Raw genomic sequence first — 11,665 nt, 5'->3', positions numbered from 1 at the left:
TTCTTGTAATAATCATGAAAAGTCAAAGTGCGTGTGTGTGCGTGCACGGGGCGCTCGTTATTCATAGGTCCCTTACCAGGATTCGAGAATCTGAACTGGGCCCCAGGACTGGGTGGGCGCGATCGCCCCAGCCCCCACTCCCAGCCTAGGGCCGGCGCGGTCGGGTTTTCCTCCAGCAGGCGGCGGGCTGACGGCTGCAGGGCGCGCTAGGCACGTGAGGTGGCAGCGCCGTCGCCAGCTGCAGAGGTGCAGCCCTGGCCGCCCGGCTCGCCTTCCGCAGGGGCTGCCCGTGCCGCTGGACCGCGGAGACCGCCCTCCCGGTTCCGGGGCTCGCGGCCTGCCCACCTCCCTCCGCGACTGCGGCCCCAGCCCACTCCCGCCCCACCGTGCGTCCCCGCGCCACCCCTGCCAGGACCGTGAATCCCTCTGGTTTCCGCGGCGGTGTTGGTCGTCTCGGAAGCGGGTGCGCTCGGCAGCGGGCAGGGCAGCGGGCGCAGAGGCTGCCTTCGGCTCCTGCAGCTCCGCGGTTCGCCACTGGGGGCTGCCGCGCCGGAGAGCTCGGCGGGGACGGTGCGCACGGCCGCCGGGTTCCTGGGCGCCTCTGGCCGCTGGGTTTTCTCCACTGCTGGCCCTGCGCTGTCTCCGCAGCCCGCCCGACTCCCTCCCAGATTGGAGCGTGTGATCCGTGTGTGTGTGTGTGTGCGTGTGTGTGTGTGTGTGTGTGTGGAGCGGAGAGAGAAACCGGGTACGCGCGTATGCGCGCGCGCGTGGGGGGCAGTGTGCATGCGGGGAGTACGGGGGAGTGTGTTTGTGTGTGCGTGTGGGTGTGAGTGCCTGGCTCCCTCTCGCTGAGACACACATACACTCACACATACACAACCCGGCAGGCTCGTCTGAACTTGAAGACACCCCACATTCCAAGATGCCCGAGGTTCCTGGGAATGCCTGGGGTTCTTCGATCCGGAAAATCCTACCGGCATCCTCCTAGGGAGGGATTATTATTATTATTTTTCTTTAATCTGGAAGAGAAGAGAACAAGTTGTGCTTTTCCCCCCTTCTTCTTGCTAAATGCCATGGATATAACTGAATAAGCGGCTCAGGGCTTTCCCCGCGTGGACGTCCGAGGCCACCATCTGCCTGCATTCGCCGGAGCCGCCGGAGGGTTTAGCTCGAGTCTGTCTCGGGCGGGGAAGGATGCGTGGCCGAGCCGGGGAGCCCGGGCGCCCCGCGGAGCCGGCCTCGGTGCCACCCAGCCGGGGGTAGATGCTGCCTCGCCCAGGTGAGTGGTCGCCGGCGCTGCGTCTTTGCGATCCCGGGTGTCCGCGGGAGCTCGGCGCGGGGCTGAACGCACCCGAGGGAACCGGGAACTTTGCATCCCTTTCTTTTTCTCTTGAAGACTCCCCGCATCCTAGGTGCTCATGCGGACACCCCCTTCTCTTTTCGCCCATCCTTATCGCGAGAGATTTCCTTTCCTTTCTTTAGTCTTTATTTCCTACAGTGGGGGTGAAACTCTGGCGGGGAGCGGGGAGAGCCGGGTCCATGTGAGACTGGAGAGCCGGATGGAGAGACGGGGAGCCACGGGTGGATGGAACCGTTGAAAACAGCAGGAGAACTTTGCCGCCAGACCACTCTGTTGCATCTCCGCACATGCAAGGCCTGGCTAGAGCCATTGCTGGGGGCTAGGTGGGGGCGCCGGGGACTCCCTGAGCTCTGTGGACTGGGTGGGGTGGGGTAAAGCCAAGTGCGGAAGGGTTGATGCAGAGCGGATGGGAGGAAGGAAGGCATGGTTGCAGTTTGTGGGGGCAGGTAGGGCAGGTTCAGGGACCCTATGCTGGCCTCAGGCAGAAAGCAGATCAGGGGGATTGTGTGTGTGTGCAGCTTGGGGCATCAGAATGGCATGATGAAGCAATATGGAAAGTGGCATTAGCCATGCCTGGGTTCCTAGGTCTCTGTCTCCCACCCAGCCCTGCCCTGGTTCTAAGGTTGGCCTGGGCAGGGAGGAGGGAGAGCAGTAGACCGTTCCGAGGTGGACAGTGCCTTACTTTGCACAGACCTTCTGAGGGAGGTGTCCTACTCGTCTTCCCATCAGCCCGGTACAAAGGACAGAGACAGAGAGTTCTAGGGAGATAGAGCCTCTGAAAACCAGAGCAGGAGGGAGAAGAGAGCCTGAGTGGAGACCGCAGAGGGACTGAGCCAGACTGTTGCCAAATGCACCCGGCGACAGCAGACAGCTGCAGACGGACAGACACCTGCAGGGACAGGGAACATGTCAGAGCCTGCACTCTTGAGTTGGAGTTACAGGCATGGCTATAGATGATGACCCCCTCCCCTGGCCACAATGGAGTGTGTGTGTGTGTGTGTGTGTGTACGCGTGTGTGTGTGTACGCATGTGTATGTTTCAGGGAGGTGGCAGCTGTGGCCTCCATGGCCTGATTGGCCTTCTAGTACTGGGGGAGGGGGAAGCTTCAGGAATTTGACCCCCTGCTGCTGGGGAGGAGCAAAGCTAGGGAGGAAACTGCCATTCCCTGGGCTGTGAAGTTCCCAGGGGCCAGGGCTAGAGGTTCTATGTGGGCTGTTATTCTTGTGTGGGGGCCGATTTGGAACTCAAGGTGGGGAGCAAGGGAACTAGGTCTTGGGGTTGTGCCCTGGTCTGGTCGCTGCCCTCTGGCAGGAGCTTTATATAGCCACACACAGCAGAGCCCTGAGGGTAGTGTCATTTCCTTGTGGGGTACATCAGAGGCTGAAGGGGGTCAGAGTCCTGTAGGGAGGATTCAGAAGCTCCAAAAGGCCTGCACTTGGAGCCGTCATCCTCCGCCGACCATGCCAGCTGCCTGGGCCCTTCTGCTGATGCTGGAATGTCATCTTTCCCTTCTGACTCTGGCTGGGAGTGCAGAGTTGCATCTCCCTCTGGCCTCCTCACATGCTTCTGCTCAGGCCCCCTGCCCAGCCCTCAATTTAGAGTTTCTGGTCTAATTCCTGACCAGGAATGTAATTATTTATCTTCCTGCCCTCATCCTGGGGATGCAAACAGCAAACTTGGCATTTCTGTTTCAGCCTCTGGAAGGTTGGCTCCCAGTTCCATCTCCTGTCTAGAAGAACTGGGTGCCTGCCTGCTGTGGGCTGGAGGCTGGGGTTCAGGGCTCCTTCTTCTGTGAAGTGCCAGTTCTTTGCTCAGGCCCAGAAACGTGAGAAGCTGGGGAGTCTGGCCTGAGAGAGGGTGAGCTGGGAGCTTCCAGGAGGTGAGGCTGAGGAGGAGAAGCAAGATAGATGGGAAGAAAATGCAGTCAGAGTGGGTGGGGCCACCGGGGAAACCAGGCAGCCTTCTGGCCAACTGAGTCCTTCTTTGACTGAAGGAGGAATTGCTCTTCTTATCTTTGCTTCAGCTCCAAAGGAAAAAAAAAAAACAGGGATTCTGGCCTCCAAGTGCCAGTTTGCCAAGCCTCTTCAGCCTGTGGGGTTGAGCAGGTTCTGCTCTCCTTTTTTGCAGGGTGGATGTATAGAGGCTTATAAGCTCCTGGCGTGGGGTCTGTCTACCCAGGGACAGTGGAGAAGTGAAATTGGAATTAATTGTTTTCAGAAACTCCCCTTTCCTAAGGTAGATATTAGCATCTAGGGAGTTCACAGTCTGATGGGGGAGGCTGCTAGACTGGAAGCAGAGACATATAGCAATAAACAACCTGGGATGGCCAAGTGGAATTGGACTCTGAACAAGAGCAACAACAATTTGAGTATTTTGTGATTTTCCTTTGGGTAGGGGTGGAGTTTTAGGGTCCAACTTATTGAAGGGATAGAGTTGTCATATAATGGAATGAAACCTCAACTTGGGTGGCCTGGGTTCAAATTCTGGCTCTGCCATATCTTGGTTAACAATGTGAGTCTTTGTGTTTTGACCTGGTAAAATAAAATAATAGCATGTACCCAATAGATGTATTATGACCTGATGTTTTCCTGGCAGTCCCCAAACCGCTTTTCAGATCTGGGAGAGTCTTCAGTGGAAACAGGGAGGGTTGGAAGGGAGAGAGAGTTCTTCAGAGACATGGAGGATAGTACAGCCAACTTCCCCCTGTCCAGGGAGCTGCCAGGAGGGTTTGATGCCATCAGACATAAGCTGATTGTTAAAAGGCTCCAGAAAGCCCTCCAGAAAACTTTGAGAATTGATGGTTGAGGAGCAAATTTCACCTCTGGGGCCCTGGCACCTGCTTCCCTCCCTTTCTCTTGTTTGTTTTGGATTTTTATGGCCATGCACATTTGCTCAGGAAGTGGGGCTCTGCATTTTACAAGTATCACCAGCCACCCTTTCCTGTCTGAGGTTTGAATGTAAAATACCCCCCCAACCGCCGCCAGCACCCAGTCTTCTCTTTTTGACTCTGTTGCCCACTCCCCCAAGGGTGACCTCAGAGGAATGTTGTGAGGCCCAGGTAAAGTGAATGGATACAGCTCTGTGGGGCCTGGGCAGGGGTTGTGATTGAACTGGGTCCTATCTGTGTAGTAGCGGGAGGGATACATCCAATTTGAGAGAGGGGCCTGGTTTTCTTACTGATGAGACAGGATGCTAATGGTCATCCCCCAGGGTTGTTGGAAGGGCACAGCAGCATGTGTGACTGCACTTTGTAAACTGGACAAGCCCTTTAGCACTCACAGCTATATTTGTGACCCTTTCTCTTTAAGACTGTCACTAAAATGTCAAATATAATTATACTCAGGTATCAGGGCACTAAAGGTGGACTTTCACGGGTCAGTTTTATGTGGGACTGCAGTTAACCAGTGATTACAGGCCAGGCAGGTGGACACTGTGCCTTCTGAGAAAAGGGGTGTTAAGAACCTGCAGAAACAGGGCAGTTGTGGTTCACATAATTGGGTGGGACTGGTAACAGGAAGCTAGGAAGGGGCACATGGGCAGCATTTTTGGTAGAAGCATTTTTGGAGGGTTTCTCCTAATCACACCCTCCCATACATTTTAATACCACAGATATACTATATGTGTATATATACTATATATGTATATAGTGTATATATATGTCTATATATACACTATATACATATGTATATCTGTACTTTTTATATCAAAAGATTAAGTTCTCTTTTTTTGCCTCCCCACCAAGCACACATTTTTGCCCCCTTGGGGGCGATATTGTCCCCACTGAGGATGCATTGTCTTAAAATTAACAGAGGTAAGTGTTAGTTAGAAGAGGTGGATTAGTGAGACGGGGAATCCAGAAGATAGTGAGGGAGACAGATCCACTCGCAACTTGCTACCCCAAGTGTGGTCTGTGGACCAGCATCAGCATCACCTGAGTAGGGATCTCCATTTTATCAAGATGGGAGGTCGGGACAGTGTTGGGTTGACTGCCCAAGAACACAAGGCTAAACTTTGAACAGAGGGTCAAAAATAGCTATGTTCTGGGCCGCTCAGCTTGTTCAACTATTGAGTCCAAATCACCAAGCAAGTTTTAGTAAGGACACAGTCTACCCATGTCATGATTTATCAGTCTTTTTTTTTTTTTTCTGAGTGATTTCCTTACGTTGTAACTGAGGGTTGTATAGAAGGTATGGGGGCCCTGAAGAGAAGACCCAAGGCTTCCATGCAACGGAAAATCAGGGCATCTTTGATTTGAACAGGTCTGGGCCTGCTTTTTTGAATGTCTCCAAGGGCCAAGCCTAATGGAGACCAGACCAACCTGAGGAACAGACTGGAACTATAGAGACAAGATATAGGTGTTAAACTGTGCCAAGCTGGATTAAAGAACAAAACTGTGTTCTTGTAATTTATCAACCTGCTTGGGATTGTCTGCAGGAGAGCCGGGGCCTCCCTGGCAACCTTCCAATATTAACAGGGCAGCCCCAAAAACATACGAGATTGCAAAATAAGTTGGGCTCTTTAGATTTCACTGCATTTATTATTGGCATGTCCTATATTAATTCACCCACCAGCAGGAGCTAAGCTACAGTTCACGTGCCCAGAAACAACCTAAAGAAGCAGAAAGCTGAGCATCTCTGAACCCCTCTTCCTTCCATGTTTCCTGCCTGGGTCCTCTCCCCTCAACACATCCCTTCCTCTACCCCATTTTGGTGTAGGACAACACAGAGGAGCAGGCTCCCTCTTGCCTTAACCCAGATCTCTAATAAACTTCCTGGGGATGCAAAGTCTATTTGGCCCTCTCATTTCTTCTTCCCAGGGACTCACTTCCTATTCCTTTTCTCCAAAAGTAGTACTCTGTTCCCAGCTACCCCATTCTTTTTCATTCTCCTGTTAAGGCGGCTTTAGTCAAAGAAGCCAGGGGGTCCCCCAACTAATACTGAGGGTCTGTGGAGGTTCCTACTTCAGAATAATTGTAAAGTAGGCCTTGATATTACATGACTCTCTCTGGTCCCCAAAACATATGAAATGTGGCCACTCAGCCTGCAGGACTTGGAGAAGTTTGGGGAATGAGCCATACCAGGGTCTCAGTACCTAGTGAGAGAGCAATGGATGATGGCAGTGAAGGCAAAGGCATTTCTGACTTTCTGAGCTCCTGGAACCTCCTAAAAATGCCTAACAATGACTGTAAGATAAGGCCTTGTCATTCTAAAAAGGTATTGAAGATTTCTGGATGGGTAGAATTGATTACTTGATTCAACCTTTCCTGTAATGAAGTCACTATAATACCTAGAAATGCCCCCCTGGGGAAGAAGGGAGGGAGGATGGATGGGGATCTGGGGTCATGGAGGTGAGAGGTTAGAGGTCCTCCTATAGCACAAGGCACTGATGGCTGGTCAGAGAATGCTTGCTGGGGTGCAGCGGAACCTAGAATGAGCTCTCCTTTTAGCTCTGCCCGTAACTTGCTGTGTGACTTTGGCCGTCCCCTCTGTCTTCCTGTCCTCGCCTGTGGTTTAGAGCCTGTGTGCTCTCCTAAGGCCTTTTCAGTTCAGGAGGTTGATCCTTTGATTTACGAGTCCATGATCCAGCCTCAGAGCAGACATCTCTGCGGAGCCATCTAGGCCCTGGAAGTTACTTGGCTGGGGTCCTCCATCCTCCTTTCCATCCTCTTCTGCCAGACAGCACTGACCTGAGGCTTTTCTTTGCTTCGTGCTCCTGACTAGTCTATGACCAAACACTGTAACTGGGTTTCGTTTGGAATGACCAGGATCCCAGGGCTGCCGTCTGAATGAGGGTGTCTCTTTCCTCCCCACTCCACCACATACATGTGCACATACACACACATTCATACACACACACCCCCACCAGTGTACACATGTCCACATACCTCACACACATCCACACTTGCATGCCCACACATATACTTATACACACATACATTTATGCTCACACTAACACATACGTTCACATACATATACACACTCCCAAATACTCACACTTGTACATTCATACATGCACACATTCATGTACACACGTTCATGAGTTCATATACCTTCTCTTACAAATGCAACACTCCCACATATTCACACATACATGCACACACTCCCTTTTTCCACTGCACTGGCTTCTCCCTCAAAGACATGGGCGGGTGCCATTCAACCCTTCCAGCTCACTGTCTACTTTAGAGAGCATGTCAATACATGGCCTTCTGTCATTCCTATAGCCCTCTGACCTCATTCAGGAGGACAAAACCATGTCTTCTTTTGTATATGGATGAGGAAACTGGCTTGGATTTGCAGGTAGCAGGGTCAGGATGAGTGCCAAGACTTCTGGATCCGGTCCAGAGATTCACCTATCACTTCGGAGCTGCCGTAGCAATTTCTGCTCTGTAGAACAACCCTGGAAGACAGGAAGGGTATATTTTGTCCCTGGTTAAAGATGGGAAACTAAGGACCAGGGAGATTCACACACAGACAAAGGGTGACCAGATCCTCTATCCTTCTCAGCCAGGACATGTGCATACTCCAGCCGCTTCTTGGTGATCGTGTCTTCCTTCCTGGCTCTCAGTCTGCTAGAAGCTTTTATTCACACTAAACTCCAGCAAGTGAGAAATGCCACCCTGGGGCAGCCCATGGGCATTCCAGTTTCAGTTCTGACTTGTTTTCACCAAAATAGGGTGTGGGAGAAGGGTGGACTGCCTCTGTCCTTAGGGTCGAGGTAAATAAGCCTTCTCATTGCCATTTCTCATGATGGGATCAAGCTACGCTCATCATCAATGTATCCTTTTTTGTAGTCTCAGCCCACCTCACCTCTTGAGGCTATAGCTTCTGTGCTTTTCTGCCTGCCATTCCTTTAGCTTGCTCTGAAGTGCTACCTTCACTTCCTTCAAACTTTAAGGCCCTGTTCCTTTAAGATGTGGTAAGCAATCCCATCCATCTTCACCCATCCCTTTCACGACTTGATGGCTAGCAGTCTTCCTCTGTTTAGTTTAATTCAGCAAGCATTAATTGAATGCCTACTACGTGCCACCCAGGGAGCCTGACACTGCAAAGGTGAATTACCTCTCCAATCCCTGTGTGCACGCAGCCCTCAGTCTCACTGATCATTTGACTTCTTCTCTTGCACTTTTTCCAGCCCTGTTTGTGGACCCCAGGACTTGATTATGTTGGGGGTGGCGGTTCCAAGTTCTGGCTGATTTCTAGTGCAGCCCTTCACCTGCATTCTCGTGTGTGTGTGTGTGTGTGTGTGTTTGTGTGTGTTCGTGTGTGTTGCTTAGGAGTCAGTCAAGGTCACACATGATTAACTGCTTGATGTAAAGCTGATGGTGGTGATGATGATGATAATGATGATGGTGATTATATGGTGATGGTAATGAAGTCCGCTTAAGAAACAGGCTCTCAAGCTGCTTTCCCACCCTGCTCTACCACTAAGCTGACATCTTACCATCTTACCCAAATAGAAACTGATAGGATGAAGAGATTTGGGGTCATCGTCCCAATTTAGAGACAGCTGGCCTGAAAGGAACCATTAATCTTCCTCCTTGCCTGAGGACTTATGTCACAGGGGCTGAGCTGGGAAGAAGGGGAGCTGAGGCTAGAGCCCCTGGAATAGACATTAAATCCTGGACTCTCTGTCCAGAGTCACACCTTCTAAGCACATGACAATAAGGGCTATTGCCCTGGAGGAGAGGGTGGTTCCCCAGGCTATTGAGGGGCAAGAATCTGTGAATGAGGATGCTGGCAGGGATTGTGCTTGCAATCGCAGAGTGGTTGCAAATGGGCAAAGCAGATCCCTGATGCTTGGGAAGTCTTCATCTGATGAGCAAAGACCAGTCCTTGTCCTTGGGAAGTTTATGTCTAAGGAGGAGGACAAAGCAGATACACAAGGCACATTATTAGGGAACATTTAGGCACCAAAATTCGTGGATGGAGCATCTTTCTCACAGGGAGAAATGTGTGTACCTGTGCCTGCATTTGTAGGATTTGCATTGTGTTCTGTTTTCCTGGTTGTGTGAACTTGAGTGGGTTATTCTTTCTGTGCCTCAGTTTTCTCATCTGCAAAATGAGGATAATAATAGTACCCACCTCACAGGGTTGTTAGGAAAATTAAATGAACTACTATACATAAGGTACTTGGAACAGTGCCTGGCACATATTGAACAATATATACGTGTGAGCTATTAGTGGTAGTAGTAGAAATAGTGGTATTTTTCTAAGCATGGAGAGGACCATACTTAGGAAAATACCACTGAGGACCCTCTTAACTGATACTCCTTTCTAACAACCATCTCTTAAGTTAGACATTAATTTGGGGAATCTCCACATGATCTCATTTGTCCCTTGCAACAATCCTACCAGGCAGTCAGCATAGACATTATGATTACAACCACTTTGCATAAAGGGGAACTGAGGCACAGATGTTATGAAGTGGTTTCTGGTCTGATGGGGTTTTCATTGTACCTTACAGCCACACTGCATTCAGGCGAGGGGTCACAAGAATCTTGGAGGAGAGGGTTTTGGATGATGATAGCTGATAAGTTCAGGACTGGCCTTCCCACCTGGCCCTTATGCATGTTGGGATCATACTGCTGGGAAAATAAACCACGGTGGGGAAGGAAGATCTCATTCCAGGCTTGCATAACTAGACGGGGTCCACATGAAATGGCATGGGGAGAAGCAGGCTGCCCTCTACACAGCACCCCAGAGGATGGGAGTTAGGCCACAGGACATGAGTATTGAAGCCTTTTGAAACTGTCATGAATGCCTTGGGATGGGGATAGGGATAAGAGTAGCATCCACTTTATAGGGTTGTTGAATGCTTATGTGAGGGCGGGGCTGTGCTGGGAGCACTCAGGGGGCACAGAAGGGACGGGGAACCTGGATTGGGAACCTTCTGATTCAGACTGGCCTGGTGTGTGGGGAGAAAGCCAGAGACATCCTCCTGGGCCATATTCCTACCCACCCCAACACCTTTGTCCCAAGGCTGCTCCTAGTGGTGGGAAAGGGACCCTCCTGGATCTTTTATTTTTATTTATTTTTATTTTTTTTAATTTTTATTTATTTATTTATTTATTTTTTCCTTTTTTTTTTATTATACTTTAAGTTTTAGGGTACATGTGCACATTGTTGAAATTGGAAATCATCATTCTCAGTAAACTATCGCAAGAACAAAAAACCAAACACCGCATATTCTCACTCATAGGTGGGAATTGAACAATGAGATCACATGGACACAGGAAGGGGAATATCACACTCCGGGGACTGTGGTGGGGTGGGGGGAGGGGAGAGGGATAGCATTGGGAGATATACCTAATGCTAGATGACGAGTTAGTGGGTGCAGCGCACCAGCATGGCACATGTATACGTATGTAACTAACCTGCACAATGTGCACATGTACCCTCCTGGATCTTTTGGTTTGAAAGAGCTTGGAAAGTATTTGGGGCAAGAAAATGGGCCTTGGGGGCTTGGTGCAGTGGCTCATGCCTGTAATCCCAGCACTTTGGGAGGCCAAGGCAGGCAGATTGCCTGAGCTCAGGAGTTCGAGACCAGCCTGGGCAACATGGTGAAACTCCGTCTCTACTAAAATACGAAAAATTAGCTGGACATGGCCGCGCGTGCCTGTAGTCCCGGCTACTTGGGAGGCTGAGGCAGGAGAATCGCTTGAACCCAGGAGGTGGAAGTTGCAGTGAGCTGAGATCATGCCACTGCACTCCAGCCTGGGTGAGACAGCGAGACTCCATATCTAAAAAGAAAAGAAAGGAAAAGAAAAGAAAAGAAAAGAAAATGGGCCTTGGACCAGGACCCAGAAGAGGGAATGAGGACCTCCAGTAGGGAGAACCAGACTGGAGGAGGGAATGCTTGTGGGGGTGGGGTTTTAGGAATTCAGGGGTGTCAGGGTGCAGGAACGGATCATGCATGGGTCAGTATCTAGGGTGGGACATGAGGTGATGATGGAGGGTTGGTGTGGGACTATGGGAAGAGGAGTCAGGAAGGTGAAGAAGACCAGAATGAGACAGCAGCAAGAACCACAGGAGAGCTGGGGGTGGGACCCGACTGAAGCCCAGGCCTCCCAGCCACTGTCTGCTTAGAGCCAGGCTGGCCAGGACCCAAAGCCCCAGCTCAGTGTCTCTCTCTTGGGGTGGAGAGAGAAGTCAAGGCCCTGAGCTCCTTCTAGGGCTCTGTGATCAGCCTGTTCCGTAAATCTCAGGCCATGTAAATTTGGTGCATAATTGGGAGGCACTGCAGGTACCTGCGGCTCCAGGATAAAATCCAGGCAGCTCCGGAGAGAGAGCAATGGATCATGAGTTA

At 50.9% G+C, this 11,665-nt stretch overlaps 1 protein-coding gene across 1 annotated transcript in view, besides 2 other annotated features; it reads left to right on the top strand.

Moving 5' to 3' along the window:
* Window positions 424-493: a silencer, noted in NCBI's record as "silent region_17170". NCBI's record gives its function as "represses an Ori minimal core promoter by ATAC-STARR-seq in GM12878 lymphoblastoid cells {active_cell/tissue: GM12878}" and the evidence as "EXISTENCE:reporter gene assay evidence [ECO:0000049][PMID:35858748]".
* Window positions 584-683: a silencer, noted in NCBI's record as "silent region_17169". NCBI's record gives its function as "represses an Ori minimal core promoter by ATAC-STARR-seq in GM12878 lymphoblastoid cells {active_cell/tissue: GM12878}" and the evidence as "EXISTENCE:reporter gene assay evidence [ECO:0000049][PMID:35858748]".
* LRFN2 (leucine rich repeat and fibronectin type III domain containing 2) overlaps window positions 856-11,665 on the top strand; it is a 195,774-nt gene continuing 184,964 nt past the window's right edge. Inside the window, exon 1 of the mRNA NM_020737.3 lies at window positions 856-1,279. The gene's annotated coding sequence lies outside the window, so the exon portion shown is untranslated. The remainder of the gene's footprint in view (window positions 1,280-11,665) is intronic.

This window comes from Homo sapiens, chromosome 6 (assembly GCF_000001405.40).
Source record: "Homo sapiens chromosome 6, GRCh38.p14 Primary Assembly".
Taxonomy (NCBI): domain Eukaryota; kingdom Metazoa; phylum Chordata; class Mammalia; order Primates; family Hominidae; genus Homo; species Homo sapiens.
Note: the sequence above shows the minus strand (reverse complement) of the source record. Positions and strands in the feature narration are given on the sequence as shown.